At 47.3% G+C, this 25147-nt stretch overlaps 1 protein-coding gene and 1 non-coding gene across 6 annotated transcripts in view, besides 2 other annotated features; one reads left to right on the top strand and one right to left on the bottom strand.

Annotated features, from left to right (window-relative positions):
* DOP1B (DOP1 leucine zipper like protein B) overlaps window positions 1-25147 on the bottom strand; it is a 137451-nt gene that overhangs the window by 16438 nt on the left and 95866 nt on the right. For 4 of the 5 annotated variants that reach the window (XR_937581.4, NM_001320714.2, NM_005128.4 and 1 more), the window contains 6 exons: window positions 23928-24065; window positions 17105-17160; window positions 14187-14291; window positions 14023-14089; window positions 7680-7824; window positions 737-816 (listed from right to left, as the gene is read on the bottom strand). Coding sequence is in view for 3 of the 5 variants with exons in the window: in NM_001320714.2 (NP_001307643.1) it covers window positions 737-816; window positions 7680-7824; window positions 14023-14089; window positions 14187-14291; window positions 17105-17160; window positions 23928-24065 (591 nt within the window). In the remaining 2 variants the exon portion in view is untranslated. Of the gene's footprint in view, window positions 1-736; window positions 817-7679; window positions 7825-14022; window positions 14090-14186; window positions 14292-15541; window positions 15656-17104; window positions 17161-23927; window positions 24066-25147 lie in introns of those variants that run through there. The other variant, XR_007067795.1, reaches the window with a different exon arrangement.
* On the top strand, window positions 19306-19411 carry LOC124905072 (small nucleolar RNA U13). The gene has a single exon (XR_007067951.1). It is a non-coding gene; the product is annotated as a small nucleolar RNA U13 (small nucleolar RNA).
* Window positions 21867-21916: an enhancer, noted in NCBI's record as "active region_18432". NCBI's record gives its function as "activates an Ori minimal core promoter by ATAC-STARR-seq in GM12878 lymphoblastoid cells {active_cell/tissue: GM12878}" and the evidence as "EXISTENCE:reporter gene assay evidence [ECO:0000049][PMID:35858748]".
* Window positions 23687-23786: an enhancer, noted in NCBI's record as "active region_18431". NCBI's record gives its function as "activates an Ori minimal core promoter by ATAC-STARR-seq in GM12878 lymphoblastoid cells {active_cell/tissue: GM12878}" and the evidence as "EXISTENCE:reporter gene assay evidence [ECO:0000049][PMID:35858748]".

Here is a 25147-nt window from a genome sequence, read left to right as displayed (position 1 = left end):
AACCCCATCTCTACTAAAAATACAAAAATTAGCCAGGTCCTGTAATCCCAGCTACTCAGGAGGCTGAGGCAGGAGAACTGCTTGAACCCAGGAGGCAGAGGTTGCAGTGAGCCGAGATCACGCCACTGCACTCCAGCCTGAGTGCAGACTCCAGAGCGAGACTCCATCTCAAAAAAAGAAAACAGAAAGAAAAAGAAAAAAAAAAGAAAGAAAACAGAAACCCTTGGAAGCGAGCAACAATAAGAAAAGCAGTTATGGCTGGGAGCGGTGGGTCACGCCTGTAATCCCAGCTCTTTGGGAGGCCAAGGTGGGTGGATCACGAGGTCAGGAGATTGAGACCATCCTGGCCAACACAGTGAAACCCCGTCTCTACTAAAATACTAAAAACTAGCTGGGCGTGATGGCGCGCACCTGTAGTCCCAGCTACTCAGGAGGCTGAGGCAGCGGAATCGCTTGAACCCGGGAGGTGGAGGTTGCAGTGAGCTGAGATCGCGCCACTGCACTCCAGCCTGGCAACAGAGCAAGAATCTGTCTCAAAAAAAAAAGTGCAGTCCTTAAAGCAAAACCTAACCCAAAACTCCATGGTGCAGCTTGAGGCCAATGCTGCCTGATGGACGAGCTCACCTGGGAGGGTGCGGCCCACGCTCACTGGCACCTGGGAATGAACAAATGTCTTTGCAACAATTCGTGATGGCGCTCATTTCCATAAAGGACGACAGGTCAGGTGTGTATTTACCTCTGCCAGGAGAGAGAGGGCTTGCACGCTGTACACCGACGGGGCGGATGAAGACACCATTGCTGAAGCTGCAGCAGCATCTGTGAACAGAAAGAGCCATTTGTATGTTAACTATGATGGATGGGTCACCATTTACTGTCCCCAAAAGCCCTGCATGAATGTGAGCCATCAGCTCCCGCCTTTCATACCAATTGTGTCCATATGACTCAGGTATTCCTCTCTGTTAACTTTCAGCTTTTTCTTTTTTTTTTTTTTTTTTTGAGATGGAGTCTCACCCTGTCACCCAGGCTGGAGTGCAGTGGTGTGATCTCGGCTCACTGTAGCCTCCACCTCCCAGGTTTAAGCAATTCTCTTGCCTCATCTTCCCGAGTAACTGGGACTACAGGCATGTGCCACCATGCCTGGCTAATTTTTGTATTTTTAGTAGAGACGGGGTTTTGCCATGTTGGCCAGGCTGGTCTCGAACTCCTGGCCTCAAGCGATCCTCCTGCCTTGGTCTCCCAAAGTGCTGAGATTACAGGCGTGAGCCACCGTGCCTGGCCATCATTCAACTTTTTTATTTTTATTTTTGAGACAGGATCTTGCTCTGTCACCCAAGCTGGAGTGCAGTGGCATGATCATGGCTCACTCTATCCTTGACCTCCCAGGCTCAAATGATCCTCCTGCCTTAGCCTCCCGAGTAGCTGGGGGCACAGGCACACATCACCACGCCCAGGTAATTTTAAAATTATTTATAGAGACAAAGTCTTGCTATGTTGCCCAGGGTGGTCTTGAATTCCTGGGCTCAAGTAATTTGCCTGCCTTGGCCTCCCTAAGTGCTAGGACTATAGGTGTGAGCCACTGCACCCTGCCAACATTCAGTTTCAACAACTAAGAATCTGGATATTTTGATCAAATAAATTAGCACTAACTCACTAACATCCTCTCCATTTCCATTCTCATCATCGTTCTTGAAACTGCACGACCCCTTTGGATGCTCCCTCCTACATCCCAGCCTCTAAGCCCCTGGCCTTCTTCTCTTCTAACCATCCCCGACTCCGCTCCAGCTCCACCACTGTCATACCCTTGACCTCACCAGCTTCTCAAATCTCCGTTTCCAGCATCCTCCTCTGACCACCCCTCTGGCATTTTCCTGCATCCTAGGACAGCTTTCCAGTCCCTGAGTCCTACTGCCTAACTACCCAGCAGCTGCTACAGGTCCTCACCTCCCACCCACACCCAGGGTCAGTCATCTACCCTTCACTCCTTTGCTTCTTTCCCTCGGAAGGACTCACCTAGAAGAATGCACTGCTGGGTACACCCAATGATCTGTCTACGTAGTTATGTGTAGCTAAATGTTCCAGAGCAAACCAGACCACCAAGCAACTGATCTTACTTTATGTCATGACCATGAATCTCTCAAGGGACTTGATGCTACCACATGTTCCCAGGTGGGGTGCTGGCTTTCCCACTCTCCAACATAATTCTTTTTTTTTTTTTTTTGAGACAAGTTCTCGCTTTGTTGCCCAGGCTGGAGTACAGTGGTGCAATCTTGGCTCACTGCAGCCTCCGCCTCCTGGACTCAAGTGATCTTCCCACCTCAGCCTCCTCAGAAGCTGGAACTACAGGTCCCATTACTACAGGCTGTAATTTTTGTAGAGATGGGGATTTTTCACTGTGTTGTCCAGGCTGGTCTCGAACTCCTGGGCTCAAGCAAACTGCTAGCCTCAGCCTCCCAAAGTGCTGGGATTACAGGCGTGAGCCACTGTGCCCAGCCTCATCTCCTGTTTTAATAGATATGTTCCTGACTCCTATCAAATAACAATAATTCCATTTATGATCCCAATCCTGGCCCTGTGGCCATCAAGGACTCTGCTAATTATCCTTCCTCTCTCTTGAATTAATTTCTTCCTCTCTGCTGTACTGTTCTGTCACCATGCAAATAGGCTTTGATATCCTCCATTTAAAAACAAATCAGGCCGGGTGCAGTGGTTCAGGCCTGTAATCCCAGCACTTTGGGAGGCCAAGGCGGGCAGATCGCTTGAGGTCAGGAGTTCGAGACCAGCCTGGCCAACATGGTGAAACCCTGTCTCTGTCAAAAATACAAAAATTACCCAGGTGTGGTGGCGTGCACCTGTAATCCCAGCTACTTGGGAGGCTGAGGCAGAAGAATTGCTTGAACCCAGGAGGCAGAGGTTGCAGTGAGCCAAGATCACGCCACTGCACTCCTGCCTGGGCAACAGAGCGAGACTCCATCTCAAACAAACACACAAAACAACAACAACAAAACATTCTCTGGTCCTTAATTCTGCTTGGCTACTGCCCTATGGACAACTAGCCTCAAAGAGTTACCGACCTCCACTGTCTCCCCTTGCTCCATTCCCATCCTCTTCTCCACCTGTTTCTCAAGTGTCCCCTCACCATCCTGACCACCCACCCCGATGAATTCTACATTGTCAGCTCCTGTTGCCCCTTCCTGTTGCACTTTGCTTCTCAGCGGCCCTCCACCGTGTGTCTGCCCCTGGGGCCTTCGGACACATTGTCTCCTCCCAGACTCCAAGGCTCTATGCTCTCTTGGTTCACCCACCTCAGTGACTGCTTAATCATCTTTGCTGGGTCCTTCTCTTTTCCATCATTTCCGACTTAACATGTGCAAAATCAAGCTCAATTTTTCTCTACGAAATGTTTTTTCTTCTGTTTTTTCCACCTTGGTAAATTGCTTAAGCCAAAAACCTGTCATCCTTGGCTGCATTTTCTAAAATAACTACATCCGATCCATCAGCAAATCCTGCTGACTCTGCATTTAAACTGTCCCTTTCTGTTGACCCTGCCTCCAAGCCAGAATCATCTTCTGCCTTAACCAGCGCAAAATCCTTTTACCTGGACTTCCAGTTTCTGTGCTCATCCAATACACACTGTACTGATCACAGCAGCCAAAGTGATGGTTTTTAAAGTTTGACTAACATGTGGCTGCTCTAAGTACTTTAAGGCTACCTGTGGCAAGTGGGATGAAATCCAAGCTCCTTAGTGTGCTTTCTTTCTTTTTTTGAGACAGAGTCTCTGTTGCCTAGGCTGGAGTGGAGCGGCGCGATCTCGGCTCACTGCAACCTCCACCTCCCTGGTTCACGCCATTCTCCTGCCTCAGCCTCCCCAGTAGCTGGGACTACAGGTACCTGCCACCACACCCGGCTAATTTCTTTTTGTATTTTTAGTAGAGACGGGGTTTCACCATGTTAGCCAGGATGGTCTCGATCTCCTGACCTCGTGATCCGCCCGCCTCGGCCTCCCAAAGTGCTGGGATTACAGGTGTGAGCCACTGTGCCCGGCCCCTTAGTGTGCTTTCTACCAAGCCCGACAACCATCAGTCTCATCAGTCTCCACCCTTTCTCTGACCTCTTCCCACCACTTTCATGAAGCTCCAGAGTCCTGGTCTTCAGGTCGCTGGGTCTAAGCCCACTCCCGTGGCCAAGGCCTGCAATCCCCTCGGGGCAGTGCCTTCCCAGACCTCTGCAGGGCTGTCCCCTTGTCTTTCATCTCTCAGCACAACTGTCACCTCCTTGGGGACATGTTCTGTAACACTCACAGTGGCCCTGCCCCACTACCAGCCACTCCTTATCACATTACTCTTACTTTCCTCGCAGTACTAAGTCCCACCTGAAATTCTCTTGGTAATTTACTTTCTTTTAGTCATTAAAAAAACTTTTTTTTTTTTGAGATGGAGTTTGCACCCTCTGTTGCCCAGACTGGAGTGCAGTGGCACGATCTCGGCGCACTGCAGCCTCTGCCTCCCAGGTTCCAGTGATTCTCCTGCCTCAGCCTCCCGGGTAGCTGGGATTACAGGCACACACTACCATACCTGGCTAATTTTTGTATTTTTAGTAGAGACAGGGTTTCATCATGCTGGCCAGGCTGGTCTTGAACTCCTGACCTCAGGTGATCTGCCCACCTCAGCCTCCCAAAGTGCTAGGATTACAGGTGTGAGCCTCTGCACCTGGCCTTATTTTTATTTATTTATTTTTTTGAGATGAGTCTTGCTCTGTCGCCCAGGCTGGAGTGCAGTGACGCCATCTCGACTCACTGCAACCTCTGCCTCCCCTTTTGTAGAGATGGGGTCTTTTTTTTTTTTTTTTTTTTTTTGAGATGGAGTTTTGCTCTTGTTGCCCAGGCTGGAGTGCAATGGTGCGATCTTGGCTCACAGTAACCTCCGCCTCCCAGGTTCAAGCCATTCTCCTGCCTCAGCCTCCGGAGTAGATGGGATTCCAGGCATGCGCCACCACACCCAGCTAATTTTGTATTTTTAGTAGAGATGGGGTTTCTCCATGTCGGTCAGGCTGGTCTCGAACTCTGGACCTCAGGTGATCCGCCCACCTCGGCCTCCCAAAGTGCTGGGATTACAGGCGTGAGCCACCGCGCCCGGCCTGAGATGGGGTCTTGCTGTGTTACTAGGATAGTCCTTTTTTTTTTTTTTTTTTGAGATGGAGTTTGGTCGCTCTGTCACCCAGGCTGGAGTGTAGTGGCACGATCTTGGCTCACTGCAACCTCCACCTTCCGGGTTCAAGTCATTCTGCCTCAGCCTCCTGAGTAGCTGGGACTACAGATGCCCGCCACCATACCTGGCTAATTTTTGTATTTTTAGTAGAGATGGAGTTTCGCCAAGTTGGCCAGGCCAGTCTCGAACTCCTGACCTCGGGTGATCCACTCACCTTGGCCTCCCAAAGTCCTGGGATTACAGGCCTGAGCCACTGTGCCCGGCCTGATTTATTTTTAAATGGAGTATATCCCAAAGTGTTGGGATTACAGGTCTGAGCCACCATGCCCGCTAACCAGGATAGTCTTAAACTTGTAGCCTCAAGCCATCCTCTCACCTTGGCCTCCCAAAGTGCTGGGATTACAGGTGGGAGCCACTACACCCAGCCCTGCTAACAATTTTCGTAGAAGTAATAATGAAAGATAACAATATTTGAACATTACTCTGTGGCAGGTACTGTGATAGTTTACACTGAAAACTGAAATGTAGTTTCTTGTTCCTGTATTAAATAAAACTGGGACCAAACATCCTTTCTCACGTTGTATTAAGCTCTACTGGCACTGGGCATACTGTCCTTCCCTGTGTTAAATGACACTGACAGTAGCAAAGAAAATCACTTGCCCCAAGATATGCTTAATCCTGAAAAAAAAAAAAAAAGGATCATTTGTAATCACCTCAGGCGACCCGCCCACCTCAGCCTCCCAAAGTGCTGGGATTACAGGCATGAGCCAACCCTCCCAGCTTGATTTGCTAAATTCTCTTTCCATAGTTCTGCAAAAAGAAACACACACATTCTCATCATCTTTATCCCACACAGATTTCTATCACCATGTCCAGGTAAATGGTCTTGGGGTGTTACTTTCTGGAGCCCCACTGAGGCTCAGTGAAGGTCAGCAGGATGGCATACACATGGTGGGACACCAGCTAAGGGGTCCCGGTGTTTAGCACACACACATAGTATGTTGTAAAAAGTCAAAACAGACAGTTCAGTCATCTGGCTATGGATACAAAGGAAGAGTCTGGGCCGGGCGCAGAGGCTCACGCCTGTAATACCAGCACTTTGGGAGGCCGAGGTGGGTGGATCACCTGAGGTCAAGAGTTTGAGACCAGCCTGGCCAACATGGTGAAACGCTGTCTTTACTAACCACAAAAATTAGCTAGGCATGGTGGTAGATGTCTGTAATCCCAGCTATTCGGGAGGCTGAGGCAGGAGAATGGCTTGAACCAGGGAGGCGGAGGTTGCAGTGAGCCAAGATGACGCCACTGCACTCCAACCTGGGTGAACTCCAACCTGGGTGAACTCCAACCTGGGTGAACTCCAACCTGGGTGAACTCCAACCTGGGTGACAGAGCGAGACTCTGTCTCAAAAAAACAAAAACAAAAAACAAAGAAAGAGTCTGGGTGAATGAACACAGACTTGAGAAGGTAGTTTGCTTTTTCCTATGCCTAAACTTTTTTTTTTTTTTTAACTTTCCAACATCTTTTCCCTTACCAGTTTTAATTAGATATAACTGACAAATAAAACTGGTATACATTTCAGGTTATAACATGATGTTTTGATATATGTTTTCTTTTTTCAATATTTCACCATCCCTGCTGATATATGCATACATTGTGAAAAAACACAAGTTAAGACATGCATCACCTCAGGTACTTTCTTTCTTTCTTTTTTTTTTTTTTGAGGTGTAGTCTCACTCTGTCGCCCAGGCTGGAGTGCAGTGGTACAATCTTGGCTCACTGCAACCTCCTCCTCCCAGGTTCAAGCAATTCTCTGCCTCAGCCTCCCATGTAGCTGGGATTACAGGCGCCCACTACCACGCGCGGCTAATTTTTGTATTTTTAGTTAAGATGGGGTTTCACCATCTTGGCCAGGCTGGTCTTGAACTCCTGACCTCAGGTGATCCACCCACCTCGGCCTCCCAAACTGCTGGGATTACAGGCGTGAGCCACCATGCCTGGCCTCAAAGTGATGTTTTCTAAAGTTTGACTAACATCTTGTCACTGCTCTAAATACTTTTTTTTTTTTTTTTTTTTTTTTTTGAGACGGAGTCTTGCTTTGTCGCCTGGGCTGGAGCGCAGTGGCGTGATCTCGGCTCACTGCAACCTCCGCCTCCCAGGTTGAAGCGATTCTCCTGCCTCAGCCTCCCAAGTAGCTGGGACCACAGGTGCTTACCACTGTGCCCAGCTGATTTTTTTACTTTTAGTAGAGACGGGGTTTCGCCATGTTGGCCAGGCTAGTCTCAAACTCCTGACCTTGCTTTATCTGCCCATCTCGGTCTCCCAAAGTGCTGGGATTACAGGCGTGAGCCACCGCACCCAGCCTACCTTAAGTACTTTCTTTCTTTTTGTGGTGAGAACACTCAAGATCTCTCTTAAGGAAAAGCCAGAACCACGCGCTGACCAGAGGCACTATCAGCCAACCCATCTCCACCTACCATACAGGTCCTCCTCAGCATCAGATTCTTCTAGAGAGGCCTGAGGTTGGGCCTTCACTTCCAGGTTTCTGCTTAGCCAGCTGGTTTGCTCCAAGGAAGAGCCGGCAATGTTCCCCACAGCTTCTAGGATTTTCTGAGTGATTTCCTGAGAATTATCAGGAGGAGGGGGAAAGGAAGTTAATTAAGGAAAAGAATGTTAAGTGCCTAAAACAGCACTGTCCAGTAGAAATAAAATGCAGGCCACAGCTGTGAGCATATACGTACCATTAAGCTTTCTAGGAGCCACATTGAAGGTAAAAATAAACAGTTAAAGTTAAATTAATAATATAGGCTGGGTGCAGTGGCTCATGCCTGTAATCCCAGCACTTTGGGAGGCTGAGGCTGAGGCAGGGGGATCACTTGAGGTCAGGAGTTTGAGACCATCCTGGCCAACATGGTGAAACCCTGTCTCTACTAAAAAAAATACAAAAATTAGCTGGGCATGATGGCACATGCCTGTAGTCCCAGTACTCGGGAGGCTTAGGCAAGAGAATCGCTTGATCCCAGGAAGTGGAAGCTGCAGTGAGCTGAGATCATGCCACTGCACTCCAGTCTGGATGACAGAGTGAGACTTCGTTTCAAAAAAAAAATTAATAATGTATTTTATTTAACCCAATATATACAAAATATTATCAACATGCACTCAATATAAAAATTATTAATACGCTAGGTGTGGTGGCTCATGCCTATAATCTCAGCATTTTGGGAGGCTGAGGCGGGCGGATCACCTGAGGTCAGGCGTTTGAGACCAGCCTGACCAACATGGTGAAACCCTGTCTCTAGTAAGAATACAAAATTAGGTGGGTGTGGTGGTGCATGCCTGTAATCCCAGCTACTTTGGAGGCTGAGGCAAGAGAAACACTTGAACCCGGGAGGTGGAGGTTGCAGTGAGCCTAGATCATGCCATTGCACTCCAGCCTGGGCAACAGGAGCGAAACTTCGTCTCAAAAAGAAAAAACAAAAACAACCTATTAATCAGATTTTGCATTCTCTTTTGTGTGTGCCCTAAGTCTGAAATCCAATGTGTGTTTTGCACTTACAGTGCATTCAATTCAGACTACCACATTTTTCTTTTTAGGAGGTGGTGGGCAGGACAGGGTCTTGCTCTGTCAACCAGGCTGGAGTGTAGTGGTGCAATCAAGACTCACTGCAGCCGGGCGCGGTGGCTCACGCCTGTAATCCCAGCACTTTGGGAGGCCGAGGCAGGCGGATCACAAGGTCAAGAGATTGAGACCATGATGGCCAACATGGTGAAACCCCGTCTCTGCTAAAAATACAAAAATTAGCTAGGCGTGGTGGTGCACGCCTGTAATCCCAGCTACCTGGGAGGCTGAGGCAGGAGAATCATTTGAACCCAGATGACAGAGCTTGTGGTGAGCCAAGATAGTGCCACTGCACTCCAGCCTGGTGACAGAGTGTTGCGGGAAGTCAGCGACCCCGAACAAAGGGACCGACTGGAGCCGCAGCAAAGGAACATAAATTGTGAAGATTTCATTTTAATATGGACATTTATCAGTTCCCAAATAATACTTTTGTAATTTCTTACACCTGTCTTTAATCTCTTAATCCTGTTATCTTCATAAGCTGAGGATGTACATCATGGCAGGACCACTGTGATAATTGTGTTAACTGTACAAATTGATTGTAAAACGTGTGTTTGAACAATATGAAACCAGTGCACCTTGAAAAAGAACAGAGTAACAGTGATTTTTAGGGAACAAGGGAAGACAACCATAAGGTCTGACTGCCTGTGGGGTTGGGAAAAAAGAGCCATATTTTTCTTCTTGCAGAGAGCCTATAAACAGACGTGCAAGTAGGGAAGATATCGCTAAATTCTTTTCCTAGCAAGGAATATTAATATTAATACCCTGGGAAAGGAATGCATTCCTGGGGTGAGGTCTATAAACAGCCACTGTGGGAATGTCTGTCTTATGCGGTTGAGATAAGGACTGAGATACGCCCTGGTCTCCTGCAGTACCCTCAGGCTTACTAGAGTGGGGAAAAACTCCATCCTGGTAAATCTGTGGTCAGACCGGTTCTCTGCTCTCCAACGCTGTTTTCTGTTAAGATAAGATGTTTATCAAGACAATACGTGCACCGCTGAACATAGACCCTTATCAGTAGTTCTGCTTTTGCCCTTTGTCCTGTTCCCTCAAAAGTATGTGATCTTTGTTAGACCCTTATTATTAGTTCTGCTTTTTGCCCTTTGAAGCATGTGATCTCTGTACCTACTCCCTGTTCTTACACCCCCTCCCCTTTTGAAACCCTTAATAAAAACTTGCTGGTTTGAGGCTCAGGAGGGCATCACGGTCCTACTGATACGTGATGTCACCCCTGGTGGCCCAGCTGTAACATTCCTCTCTTTATACTGTGTCCCTTTATTTCTCAGCCGGCCGACACTTACGGAAAATAGAAAGAACCTACATTGAAATACTGGGGGTGAGTTCCCCCAATAACAGAGCAAGACTCCATCTCAAAAAAAAAAAAAAAAAAGTCTCACTGCAGCCTCGACCTCCTGGGCTCAAGCCATCCTTAGGCTCCCAGGTAGCTGGGACTACAGGTGCATGCCACCACATCTGGATAATTTTTAAATTTCTTGTAGAGATGGGGTCTCCCTATGTTGCCCAGGCTGCAGACTAGCCACACTTCAAGTGCTCAACAGCCACCTGTGGCTAACGGCTACTATACTGGCCAATGTAGGTAAAATATACAGAGAACACAAGTCATTGCAGCACGCTGATGAAAAAACCATAAATTGTATTCAGTGGATTGGCTTTCTGGTTTCTCTAGGACCACGGGTTCTTCCTAGAAATGCATCTTTCAATAATATACAAGAAATAAAGGTCAGTAAGTTAAACTGACTCAGTGGGGTGAAGTGAGGAGTCATCCACTCTCAGGAGTATGATCAGTAAAGAATCTGGTTAGTAGCTGGAGAGACAGAAACTCGAAGCAGGCTTCTCAGCCAGTGTCATCAAGTGTCACCAGCTACGAGTGGCTATAATCCTTGACATCCGAGAATTTTATAATCCTGACCTCAACTGTGCCACACGGTTCCTAGGCTCAGCAGTTGTGTTGAGGTGTGAAGCAGGGCACACCTGCCTGCTGGGTGAGAGAAGGGTGCGCTCGAGGGAAGTGGCGAATTGGCTAACTTAGGCAGGGCAGGGTGTGAAGGGCACAAGGAAAGTCAGGAAAAGGGATTAGGGGCTTAGAGGAGTTCCCGTAAGGACTGATGAAAGCACTGAGTGGACGGGTGTGATATTGTGGAAATGTTTTTGGCCTTTCTCCCCATTTCCCAGCTATAACTCCTAAATTCCTTGGATTCTCCAAAGTAATACGTGTCTTAGATGGTTGTGGCTGGGGGCCCCCAGAGAACTTCAGCTCCCCAACCTCCAGGAAGGGGAGAGGGGCTAAAGGTTAAATTGATCACCAATGACCAGTGATTTAATCCATCATGCCTATGTAATGAAGCTTCCACAAACCCCAAAGTAACTGGGTTCGGATGAGCTTCTGGATGGCTAAACATGTGGAGGTTCCTAGAGGGTGGTGCCCTAGGAGGGCATGGAAGCTCTGTGCCCCTTCCCACGTACCTTGCCTGATCATCGCTTCATCTGTATCCTTTCTAATCTCCTTTATAATAAACTGGTCAGCCGGGTGTGGTGGCTCATGCCTGTAATTCCAGCACTTTGGGAGGCTGAGGCGGCTGGATCACGAGGTCACGAGTTCGAGACCAGCCTGGCCAACATGGTGAAACCCCACCTCTACTAAAAATACAAAAATTAGCTGGCATTGTGGCGGGCACCTGTAATCCCAGCTACTCGGGAGGCTGAGGCAAGAGAATCGCTTGAACCTGGGAGGCGGAGGTTGCAGTGAGCTGAGATCGTGCCATTGCACTCCAGCTTGGGCAACAAGAGCAAGACTCTGTCTCAAAAAAATAAATAAATAAATAAAATAAACTGTTCAATGTGTTCCCTGAGTTCCATCAGCCACTCCAGCTAATTAACAGAACCCAAGGGGTGGGTAGTGAGAACCCCAGTTTAGAGCTGGTCTGTCAAAAGCACAGATGAAACCACTTGGGGCTTGTGATTGGCATCTGAGGGGGTGGGGCAGTCTTGTGGGACTGAGCCCTCAACCTGCAGGATCTCAAGCTATCTCTAGGTGGGGAATGCCAGAATTGAATGGAATTGGACGGTGCCTATCTAGTGTCCACTGCAGAACTACTAGCTTGGTTGCTGGTGGGAAGCAATTCCCACACATTTTGGTTACGAGGTCACAGAAGGATTCTATGTTACGAGAGTGTGGTAGGAAAATCACACTTTGTTTTTTTCTATATCCTCAGTGGGGAAGAAGCATAGGGTGTCGCTCAAAACAGTAGGAAGGAATTAGTGGCGGGGAGGCCAGGTGTCATGAGACAGAAAGAAGCAGATGCCACCTGGTCCCCGCAACCAAAAGGAGCAGAGAAGAGGCATGCCAGCTGCAACAACGGAGGGAATGCCTGTGGCCAGAGCCCTGTCCAGGCTGGCTGAAGACAGAGGGGCCTGCTACAGGCAACAGGCCACGAAAGCAGGGAGGGCTTAGGTGAGCAAGTGCTATCCCAGCACCTGGACGTGCAGCATCGGCATTGTAACGTTTTCTTCTCTGGCTACAAGTCAAGGCCAAAGGAGGAGGCACTGGAATTTTCTAATTATGCTTTATGGTGTTTTTGTTTTTTTGTTTTTTGTTTTTGAGACGAAGTTTCACGCTTGTTGCCCAGGCTGGAGTACGGTGGTGAGATCTCGGCTCACTGTAACCTCTGCCTCCCAGGTTCAAGCGATTCTCCTGCCTCAGCCTCCTGAGTAGCTGGGATTATAGGCATCCGCCACCAGGCATGGCTAATTTTTGTATTTTCAGTAGAGGTGGGGTTTCACCATGTTGGCCAGGCTGGTCTTGAACCCCTGACCTCAGGTGATCCGCCCACCTTGGCCTCCCAAAGTGCTGGGATTGCAGGCGTGAGCCACCGCACACGGCCTACTGCACTTTATACAGTACTCTTGTGGTTCAGAACTGTGGACCTGAGGCTGTTTCTGGATATACCTTTCACAAATGCCAGGGATCATAAAGATTAGCAGTAGTATCGCCAAGGCTATAAATGTGATAGAAAAGCCAACTGAATCAATGTCTATAATGGTTTGCAAAACAGTGATTTTTCCAACTTCATCATAACTTCCGTATTTATTAGTTGGCATTCCACTCTGAGTTTTCCTTCTCCTATGATGAGTTTTATTTTTCAGTATTAAACAAATTGTTATGAGCATATATTACTGTTATAATGGGGGATAAGGCGTTTAAGGAAAGAAATCCATGTATGGAGGCTGGGTGTGGTAGCTCACGTCTGTAATCCCAGCACTTTGGGAGGCCAAGGTAGGAGGATCACCTGAGGTCAGGAGTCTGAGACCAGACCAGCCAACATGGAGAAAGCCCGCCTCTACTAAAAATACAAAAAATTAGCCGGGCGTGGTGGCATGTCTGTAATCTCAGCTACTTGGGAGACTGAGGCAGAAGAATCGCTTGAACCCCAGAGGTGGAGGTTTCAGTGAGCTGAGACCGTGCCACTGCACTCTAGCCTGGGTGATGGAGTGAGATTCTGTCCAACCCCCTGGCCCAAAAAAAAAAAAAAGAAAAAAAGAAATATCCATGTATGGAGATAGCTTCCTTTTTTAAAAAATTTTTTTGAGACAGGATCTCTCTCTGTTGCCAGGCTGAAGTGCAGTGGTGTGATCACAGCTCACTACAGCCTCAACCTCCCAGGCTCAAGGGATCCTTAGCCTCCCAAGTAGCTGGGACTATAGGTGTAGCTATCACACTAGGCTAATTTTTGTACTTTTGTAGAGATGAGGTCTCACTATGTTACCCAGATTGGTCTCAAACTCCTGAGCTTAAGCAATCTGCCCGCCTCAGCCTCCCAAAGTACTGGGATTACAAGTATGCGCCACCGCGTCTGGGGGGAAATAAGATTTCTTATTCCATTTATGTTTTACAGTGAGATCCACATACATCTGCATACAGTGTGGAGGGTGAGGGGTGCAGCTGTCAATTCCACAATCGATTGCTCAAGCATTACACAAGAACCTTCATCAGAAAACCCGGGCCCCGGGACTGTCCGAACTCTCTAGAGACAGTGATGGCAGAAGTAAGACTTGAGAACAAGTGCAAAGCTAACCTCAGATTCTGTCCAATGTCTCTTGTCTACCTGCTATCTGATATCCCCCAAAGGAGGACAGCACTGCTGGGGTAATATCATTTGGCTGAACCTCTTTCATATACAAACCTGCAGGTCTTTTTGGTCCTTCTTGTTTTCCAGGTTGGGAGTTCTTGTTACAAAGTCATTCAGCATGCTGTTGGGAGACAATCAGCTTCAGATTAAAAATGCTGCAGAAATAAAATATGTGCCAAGAGAAAATATTACACAATGACAATGTGGTGACATGATACCTGAGAAGCAGAAAATACCCAGGTGGGGCTAGATTCAACTGTACAGACTCTTTCAATACTCCCAACAGTGAAGAAAAGTTCTCTTGCAAGGCTGGTACTGGGAGCCTGTTTTTTTAAAAGATAGGAAAAATACTCAACCACGAACAAGTCAAAATACATTTATTTATAAGCATATTTAAGATCCTGGCAGTTGGAAAGCAAAGGGTAAACAGCATACCTCACTGACCTTTTTCTTTTTAAAAACTTACAATGTACATGAGCTAAACTTTGGTATTCTGGCAAACACTTGGAGTTTGAGAACCTGAAATCCTACTGCTGGCAGGTGAGATACTCCTGGTTTCTTTGTCTCTAAAATAAAAGCCTTAAATTAGATGATCGACCTTGACCTCTCAGGCCTTTTTTTTTTTTTTTTTGGTGAGACGGAGATTTACTTTTGTTGCCCAGGCTGGAGTGCAATGGCGTGATCTCGGCTCACTGCATCCTTCGCCTCCCAGGTTCAAGCGATTCTCCTGCCTCAGCCTCCCGAATAGCTGGGATTACAGGCATGTGCCACCACGCTCGGCTAATTTTGTATTTTTAGTAGCGACGGGGTTTCACCGTGTTGCCCAGGCTGATCTCGAACTCCCGACCTCAGGTGATCCACCCGCCTCGGCCTCCCAAAGTGCTGGGATTACAGGCGTGAGCCACTGCGCCCGGCCTTTCTTCTATTTTATTTTATTTTATTTTATTTATTTATTTATTTATTTTATTATTGTTTTTTAAGATAGAGTCTTGCTCTGTCACCCAGGCTGGAGTGCAGTGGCACGATCTGAGCTCACTGCAACCTCTGCCCCCCGGGTTTAAGCGATTCTCGTTCTTCAGCCTCCCAAGCTGGGAGTATAGGCGCGGGCCAACACACTGGGCTAATTTTTTGTATTTTTAGTAGAGATTAGTAGGGTTTCACCATGTTGGCCAGGCTGGTCTTGAACTCCTGGCCTCAAGTAAATCCACTTGCCTCGGTCACCCAAAGTGCTGGGATTACAAGCGTGAGCCACCGTGCCCGGCTGATCTCTCAGGCCTTTCTAGTGCTAATATTCTGCTTCCCTGAAGTGGCTGGTAACACAGCATCACCTGTCAGAAGGCTGCAAAGCATTAGGTCCCAGGACACTCACCAGGAAACTGGCCTACCCCGCTCTGTAGCTCTCAGGATGAGGATTCTGAGATCACCGCTCCAAAGCGAGGAAGCACAGTCCAGGCAGTGAAAGCTCAGACTACAGTCAGAGTGTCCCAGGTCCAAGTCCTGGTTCTCCAACTTACTACCTATTGTGTGACCTAGGCGGTTTCTCCTCTGCAAAAGGAGGATGACCAAATCTAACCTGCAGCTCCTGGGAAAGCTCAGCTGTCCCTCAGGCCACTACACTCAACATTCGCCAGCAACGCAATATATATTCGCTGTCACAGGAGGGAAGTGACCGGCTCATCTTTAACTCCTGGAGGAAAGAACAACAATGATGCTCACAAGGGAAGTGGTCTGAATTTAACCCCACCCTGGTCATCTACCAGGAGGCCTCAATTTACCGTCCTGCAACTTCAGAATGTGGTGAGTGGGAATAACTATGTAATGTTAACTGTGTGAATCAAGGAGCCTGTGCCTGGTTGTTGGAGTTATTTACAGTGAGACTCCTGATGGCTATGTAGGCATAGTGAGGCTTCCCTGAGAAGTGGTCTATACCCTTCCCACCCCCATTTTTTTTCCTTTTTGAGATAGAGTCTCATTCTGTCCCCCAGCCTGGAGTGCAGTGGTGTGATCTCAGCTCACTGCAACCTCTGCCTCCTGGGTTCAAGTGATTCACCTGCCTCAGCTTCCCGAGTAGCTGGGACTACAGGCATGCTGCCACCAAGCCCTGGCTAATTTTTTGTAGTTTTAGTAGACATAGGGTTTTACCACGTTGGCCAGGCTGGTCTCAAACTCCTGGCCTCAAGTGACTCACCCACTCTAGCCTCCCAAAGTGCTGGGATTACAGGCGTTGAGCCACCGCACCCAGCCACCTCACCCTCATTTTCTGCAACACAGAGCTGCACCTGGGATGCAGCCATTGTAAGATCTGAATGAGGTCCAGTAAAGCTTCTTTTTCATCCATGGGGAAAAACCTGCGGAATCCCCTTTAATGCTCTCTTAGCTGAGACACCTAATACATATATTAACTTAGCAAATCAAAGCAGATACCTCTCCACATAAAACATGGGAAGGCACACTGAGAACGCCACCAGAAACAATCATTTTGCCTTTTTTTTTTTTTTTTTTTTGAGACAGAGCCTTGCTCTGTCACCCAGGCTGGAGAGCAGTGGTGAGGTCTTGGCTCGCTGCAACCTCCGCCTCCTGGGTTCATGCAATTCTCCTGCCTCAGCCTCCCGAGTAGCTGGGATTACAGGCGCACGCCACCATGCCGGACTAATTTTTGTATTTTTAGTAGAGATAGGGTTTCACCATGTTGACTAGGCTGGTCTCAAACTCCTGGCCTCAAGTGATCCGCCTGCCTCCACCTCCCAAAGTGCTGGGATTGCAGGTGTGAGCCACCGCGCCTGGCCCATTTCTCCTTTTTCTAAAAGAGGTCTTTAACACTTCCCTATATGTGGTTTTTTTCTTTTTCTGTATCAATTTAATGCAAATCCAAGCCTTTTAAAGTTTAACAGGCCTCACATAAAGCTTCGCTCATATAAAGTGTTCAAAGTACGCTGCACAGATTTTAAGATGTTAACTCTCTGGAGAAGGAAAAGCATAGATCAATACCTTGGGAAGAAATTATGACAACTTTAAGATATTTTCTGAACAATGGCTCTCTAGTAGTCTAGAAATAAAACCAGATATTTATTATGCATGCTCACTGCAATAGCATCTGTATTTAAGGAAGTTTTTGGAGGACGGGGGACTGTATTACCTTTGGAGAAAAGCATAGCAAAACTGCAACACAGGAATGTCCACTAGGGGCGATTTCTGAAAATGAAAGTAAAACCAATTACTCCGAGTTGGTGGGAAATAAGGCTAAAAGAATTCAGATACAAAATGAAACAGATCTATAGCCTAACAAAGCAAAGGTTTTTGACTAAAGAATCTTTCAGATATAACAACAGACATGATAGTGCCCATCATGTACAATTAAAACAAGTGTGTCCTATGAGTCCCCAAATCATTCACATCCCCTTAGACTTCTACAGTGATCTCCCACCCTGTGCACCTACTTTACATTCCAGGCGTCAACAGGCATTTCGGGAAAATTGGCACTGTAACCGAACTTCCCAAACAGAAAGCTAGGGCCAGTGTTGACTCCAGTGAATGCATATGATTACCAAGAGGCAAGAAAAAATTCTAATTCTTCTTTCTTTCTTTCTTTCTTTCTTTCTTTCCTTCCTTCCTTCCTCCCTCCCTTCCTCCCTTCCCTTCCCCTTCCCTTCCCCCTTCCCTTCCCTTTCCTTTTTCTTTCTTTGCATTCCTTCTTTCCTTTTTTTTTTTTCTTTTTACAAGAGTCTTGCTCTGTTGCCCAGGCTGGAGTACACTGGTGCAATCTCAGCTCACTGCAACCTCCGCTTCCCAGGTTCAAGCGATCCTCGTGCCTCAGCCTCCCAAGTAGAACCACCGCACCCGGCCAAAAAATTCTAGTTCTTAGTTTAGAAGATGACTCCAAGCCCAGCTCAGACAGCTTCCCCAAAAACCCTGTGGCTGGAACTACTTGGAAACAAGTTCTAAAACACATATTTTACCCCCTCCTTGCTTGTAAAAAGCTATTTGCAGCTATTAATTAACTAAACTAACCACAAAATGTAGTTTTGTTATTTGAACCGCCAAAAATCAGTCAGCTAGATAAAATCCGGTTCCTTTATAGCCCAGGAAAGACTAGAAATTGCAGGTATTTGTAGAAATTCAAGTAATGTGAAGGAATACAACCTAAACACACTCGCTCTGGCTGTCATAGCCTCTGCAGAGCTGTCTTCAGGACCTCGAAGAACCCCTTGGTTCTACGGCGACCAAGCCTGCAGCAGCACAGACCGCCCTGTGGAGCACCATTCCCACTCCTAACATTTATGGACAAGAATGAAAGGAGGCCAGGCACGGTGGCTCACACCTATAATCCCGGAAGTTTGGGAAGCCAAGGCGGGTGGATCACTTGAGGTCAGGCATTCAAGACCAGCGTGGCCAACATGGCAAAACCCCATCTCTACTAAAAATACAAAAAAATTAACTGGGCATGGTGGCGCAAGCCTGTAATCCCAGCTACTCAGGAGGCAGAGGCAGGACAATTGCTTGAACCCAGGAGGCAGAGGTTGCAGTGAACCAAGATCACGCCACTGCACTCTAGGCTAGGCAACAGAGCGAGACTCCATCTCAAAAAAAAAGAAAAAAAAAAAAAAGCCCGGGCGCAGTGGCTCACGCCTGTAATCCCAGCACTTTGGGAAGCCGAGGCGGGTGGATCACGTGGTCAGGAGATCGAGACCATCCTAGCTAACACGGTGAAACCCTGTCTCTACTAAAAATACAAAAAATTAGCCGGGCGTGGTGGCGGGCGACTGTAGTCCCAGCTACTAGGGAGGCTGAGGCAGGAGAATGGCATGAACCTGGGAGGTGGAGCTTGCAGTGAGCCGAGATTGCGCCAGCCTGGGCGACAGAGCAAGACTTCGTCTCAAAAAAAAAAAAAAAAAAAAACAGTGAAAGGCAACAGGATGACCATACGTTCTTGGAAGATTGGGAGACCTGGGCCAGATCCCCAAGAAATACTGTGGAAGTCATCCGGGTCCTTTTACATTCGAAGCCTTAAGCACTGACTGAGCTCGCTCCATAACCTGGCCTCGCAGTGCTGTTATTTTTTAGGATGGCTTCTCTTCTCTTCTCTCTTCTTTGCCAACCTAGAATATAGGAGGACTGAGGGCAGGAATTGCTTTTTCCACTATTTAGCCTCCACGACACCACTCAGTGCACATAGAGCATTGTCGATTAACACTGGAACGAAGGAAGAGACCAGGAGCTGGAGGATAACTGACTGGGTGACGCCCAACGGCCAGGCCCTCGGGGCCTGGACATTTCTATAGGGGGCTGCCCCGTGTCATATGTGAGGCTGAAAAAAATGGCTGAAAAAAAAGTCTTCCGATTCATCTGCAGTTCATTAGTGTGATGATTGGGTGTTCACGCACATGCGTGATATGTGCCACCCTCAAACTTTGTTACAATGGTCGGCACATTGTCTGATGTGAAAAAAAAAAAAAGTCTTTCTTTTGTTTTCAGACAGGGTCTTGCTCTGTACTGGAGTGCAGTGGCGTGATCTTGACTCAATGCAGCTTCAACTTCCCTGGCTCAAGTGATTCTCCCACCTCAGCCTCCCAAGTAGCTGAGGCTACAGGTGCATACCATGCCTGGCTAATTTTTTTTTTCTTTTTAGAGTCAAGGTTTTACTTTGTTGCCCAGGCTGGTCTTAAACTTCTGGGCTCAAGCAATCCCCCTGCTTCGGCTTCCCAAAGTGCTGGGATTACAGGAGTGAGCCACCCTTTAACACTCTAAAATCATAATATCTATCTACCTACCTACATCTATCTATCTATCTACCTACATCTACCTACCTACCTACATCTATCTACCTACCTACATCTAACTACATCTATCTCTCTACCTATCTACCTACCTACCTACATCTACCTACCTACCTACATCTACCTACCTACCTACATCTACCTACATCTATCTCCCTATCTACCTACGTACCTACATCTATCTACCTACCTACATCTACCTACCTACCTAACTACATCTACCTACATCTATCTCTCTACCTACCTACCTATCTACATCTACCTACCTACCTACATCTATCTACATACCTACCCTACATCTACCTACCTACCTACCTACATCTCTCTACCTACCTACCTACATCTACCTACCTACCTACATCTATCTACCTACCTACCTACCTACATCCATCTCTCTACCTACCTACCTACATCTACCTACCTACCTACATCTATCTATTTACCTAACTACTTCTATCTATCTATCTATCTATCTATCTATCTATCTATCTATCTATCATCTATCTACGTATCAACCTATGTTTTTACGTGTTTGTCTGCAGTTCTTGGTTCATAACTCCTGCCCTCCTTTGACCTGCCCCAAGGCAGGACTCTAATCTGACTACGGTTCATAAGACCCTCATTCTGGAGAGGGTCCTGTCCCACACCCTGGAGGAAGCAGTGCTGTGCAGACAGGCCAAGAAGAATCTGAACAGGCAGGCCCTGCTAGGTTTCCCCAGTCACTGTATTAAGTATTAGATCACACTCTTTTTGTCCAATCACACTTCGACACGGTTGTCCATGCTTTAGTCATACCCATCCAATGAAGTTTCCATAAAAGGCCCAAGAGGACTGGGTTTGGTGAGCTTCCAGAGAGCAGAGCACATGAAGGTTCTGTGCCCACGGAGGGCACAGGAGCTCTGCACCTCTTCCCCCATACCTTGCCCTACGCATCCCTTCATTTGTATCCTCAGTAGTAGCCTTTATAATAAACCAGTAAACGTGTTTCTGGAGTTCTGGGAGCTGCTCTGACAAATTAACTGAACCCAAAGAGGGGGTTCGTGGGAATCCCAACTTGAAGCTAGTCAGTCAGAAGTTCCAGAGGCCCAGACTTGTGACTGGTGTCTGAAGTGAAGGGTGCTCTTGGGGACTGAGCCCTCACCCTGTGGGATCTGACACTATCTCCAAGCAGATAGAGTAGGAATTGAATTGGAGGACACCCAACTGGTGTCCACTGCGGAATCAATTGCTTGCTTGCTGGTGGGGAGAACTCCCCGCATATTTGGGGTAAGAGAAGTCTTCTGTGTTGATTGTTATGTTGTTGAGTGAGGACACAGTTGTTTTTTTTTTTCCAGATATAGAACTGTGTTAGTCCTCTTGTGACTGGCTTATTTCATTCAACTTAATGTCTTCAAGGTTCATCCATGTTGAGGATCTGACATCCATGTTGTGTAGCACGTGTCAGAATTTCATTCCTCTCGAGGCTGAGTACTAACGCGCTGCACGCACAGATCTCACTTTGTTATCCGCACACCCACTGAGACACACAGGGATTGCGTCCACCTTTTGGCTGCTGTGAATAATGCTGCTATGAACATCGGTACACAAACACCTGTTCAAGTATAGCTATATTTTTTAATAATCACTTTTTCCATTGCACGAATTTTCTTTTTTTTGGACAGGGTCTCACTCTGTCACCCAGGCTGGAGTGCAGTGGCTCAATCATAGCTCACTGCAACCTCGAACTCCTGTGCTCAACTGATCCTCCTGTCTCAGCCTCCCAAGTGGCTGGGACTACAGGTGTGCACTACCACACCCAGCTAATTTTTAAATTTACTGTAGAGATGATGTCTCCCTACATTGCCCAGGCTGGTCTCGAACTCCTGGACTAAAGTGCTAGGACTACAGGCATGAGCCACCATGCCCGGCCCCCCTAATTTTCATTTAGATTATTCTTAAATTTTTGCTAACTGTATGATTTTAAACTGTTCGACAGAAGGCAATTATTTCAAGATTGAAATAAATCCCTGGTTTTTATTAAATTAGTTAATTAAGAGCAAAACAGCTCTGCTGCTTTCAATGATGAAGACTGCTTTGGTAAAAACAGAAATAGAAGACTCTAAGGGAATGCAAATATTAAACCACACAGCTTGCCCTGTTTTAAATCCACCGTGTATAATTGAAGAAGCTCTCTAGACAACATGGGCCCTCCAGGCTGCTGTAATGAAATTGAGCAGAAAAATTACAAGGAACTTCTCGGTTCAATGACATCACCCTGAAGGTTTCTGTTTCACAGCAGCCAGATGAAATCTCCTCTTTCTCAGAGTGTCTATCATTAGTTATGTTCTCTGACATTTATTTTCTACCTTTATAAAAAATTATGCAGCCAGGCATGGTGGCTCTCGCCCGTAATCCCAGCACTTTGGGAGGCCGAGGCAGGAGGATTGCTTGAGCCTAGGAGTTCCAGACCAGCCTGGGCAATGTGGCAAACCCCGTCACTACAAAAAATATAAAAATTAGCCAGGTGTGGTGGTGTGCATGTGTGGTCTCAGCTATTTGGGAAGATCATTTGAGCCTGGGGAGGTCGAGGCTATGGTGAGCTGTGATTGTGCCACTGCACTGCAGCCTGGGTGACAGTGAGATCCTGTCTTAAAAAAAAAAAAGTTTTAAAAAAAATTATGCAAATTTTGGCCGGGCACGGTGGCTCACGCCTGTAATCCCAGGACTTCGGGAGGCCAAGGCAAGTGGAGTTCAAGACCAGTCTGGCCAACATAGCAAAATCCCGTCTCTACTAAAAGAAAAAAAAAAATACAAAAATTAGCCGGGCTTGGTGGTGCGCACCTGTAATCCCAGCTACTCAGGAAGCTGAGACACAAGAATCACTTGAACCCCAGGGGCGGGGTTGCAGTGGGCTGAGATTGCACCACTGTACTCCAGCCTGGGCGACAAAGTGAGACTTCATCTCGAAAAAACTAAACAAAACAAAACAAAACCAAAAGTTAGCCAGGAGTGATAGCATGCACCTGTACTCCCAGCTACCCAGGAGGCTGAGGCACAAGAATCACTTGAGCCCAGGAGGTGGAGGTTGCAATGAGCTGAGATCGCACCACTGCACTCCAGCCTGGGTGACAGAGTGAAACTGTGTCTCAAAAAAAAAAAAAAAAAAAAGTTACACAAATTTTAATTTGCCCTTGACAAAGACTCTCTCCTTGAGCTGATTCTAGCTAGGCTCCTCTGAGCCCTCTGCTTGACAAATGATTCTGTCCACCCCCACAGCCCCAAACAACACTAGCATGGATCCCTAGGATGGGGACACCAGTCCTCTTCAAACACTTGTCCGAGAAAGCTCAAGGTTGCCAAATAATTTACTGTTTGTTCCTGCGAGACCCCTGACCTCCCTTTCTTAGAGCATTTTCTTTTAAGTTTACAATGATAAATACTTTCTCTGTCCCTTTGAGATGTGTATGTGTCTCCCACAACCTAGGAATGTGTTTCTCAAGGACCTGGGAGCCATCCCTTTGAAACAGAATCATCAAGAAAGACAGAGTCTCGATCTCCCAGCCTCTGTGGGAGGGTAGGAGCCTCATTTGGATAAGCCCCAGTTAGCAAACCCAGATGGCCTAATCACATCTATGGACTGAGCAGCCTCCCCACCTGCTCTTTTGTAATTTTCTACTTCTCCAACTCTCCTTAAACTTCCTGCTCCTTCCCCCTCCCTCCTCCCTCATCCTTTCCCAGTCATCTCCACACAAATCTAAACTGAACCCAACACTTTCCCTTACCGCAGTGGTTATTGAATCACATCTGTCTTTACCATCTTTCACTAGAGTCTGGTTTTGTTTATCTTTGGCATCTTTATGGCTGCGAGCTCCTTGAGGCAGGTGCCATTTCCTCTTTCTAAAGATTTTATTCCACTTGGTGCCCAGAAGGCGCTAACCCATGTACCAGGCAGTGTCCTCAGCAGCAGGGTACAAGGAATGAGAGCCCCTGACCTCAGGCAGTTCCCAACTTAAAAAAGAAGCACCAGATCTTCATAGGTCTCCCCCAAAGCACAGCAAACAGCACCTCCACTTCACTACCCCAAGCATTCCCACTAGCTCTTGTTACCTATCCTTCCCTCCCAAACACGATTTATAAGGAAGTAGAGTTATGACAAATGCCACCCACTAATCTGCAGAAGCCCAGAGGCTTCCCCAGGCTCCTCACCTCATCACCCCCTTTGACTTGGGGTGGCCTCTTCACCACCTCCTTCACCAGGTGCAGCAGCGTGTCAGTCTGCAGGGTGCTGAGTGCACACACCAAGTCGACAAGGGTTAGCTGGGATGCACTTGCCGTTGGGATAATCTGCCAAGAAAAAAAAAAGTTCCTTGAAAGCTTATAGAGAGAAAGTAAAAATAAGGATGACACATCCTTATTGTATTCTACAGTAGTCGTCCCTGGAGAAATCAATCTGTTTTCATCTCTTTTTTTTTTTTTTTGAAACACGGTCTCACTCTGTCACCCAGGCTGGAGTGCAGTGGTGCGATCTTGGCCACCACCACGCCCAGCTAAGTTTTGTATTTTTAGTAGAGATGAGGTTTCGCCATGTTGGCTAGGCTGGTCTCAAACTCCCGACCTCAGGTGATCTGCCCGCCTCGGTCTTCCAAAGTGCTGGGATTACAGGCATGAGCCGCCACCGCGCCCGGCCTGTTTTAATCTCTTAAACAAACATTTCCTATTGAACTAGGTAAAGGCTCCACCCAGGGGAACAACATAATTTGATACAAATTAGGAATAAAAGGTGCAGGCCATGATGGGGCTGTAATAGTGGTATGTTTGAATTTAGTAGAAAGCATTTTAGAAACAAATATACTAAATTTGAAGGAAACAAGAGATGGAATCAAAAATACGAAGACAGGAAGTAAAAACAGATAAACCAGGCTCCCATTTGCTAGCCTTGGAAGGAAAGCCCTGGTATGGGAGGCATATTTTTGATGACAGAAGTCTGCATACCCTGGTCATGGGCATTTGGAAGAAAAACAACTAGCACCAGGTTCCTCACCAGGGAAGGAGCCGACAGGCGCTCAGGAGGGTGGCCTTGGACACTGACCACTGACTCTTCCTCAGAGAACAGGCGCCCATGTCTGCCACAAAGGCTGAGCACTGGGGGAGTGTCAAGGAGGTGCAGCAGCAGATCCCGAGCAGGGGATGGAGCAGGGGTGGGAGGGAACAAAGGAAGAGGATTGAGGTTGAAAAAGGTAAGCCGACCCCTGCAGGACTTCATCATGGACCAGTCAAGTGGATAAAGAACGGGCAAAATACAAACTGATATTATCTTTGGGCTCACGCCTGTAATCCCAGCACCTTGGGAGGCCGAGGCAGGCGGATCACGAGGTCAGGAGTTTGAGACCAGCCTGGCCAACATGGTGAAACCGTCTTTACTAAAA

This window comes from Homo sapiens, chromosome 21 (genome assembly GCF_000001405.40).
Source record: "Homo sapiens chromosome 21, GRCh38.p14 Primary Assembly".
In the NCBI taxonomy this organism is placed as follows: domain Eukaryota; kingdom Metazoa; phylum Chordata; class Mammalia; order Primates; family Hominidae; genus Homo; species Homo sapiens.
The sequence above is the reverse complement of the archived record's forward strand: the minus strand, read 5'-3'. Positions and strand labels throughout refer to the sequence as shown.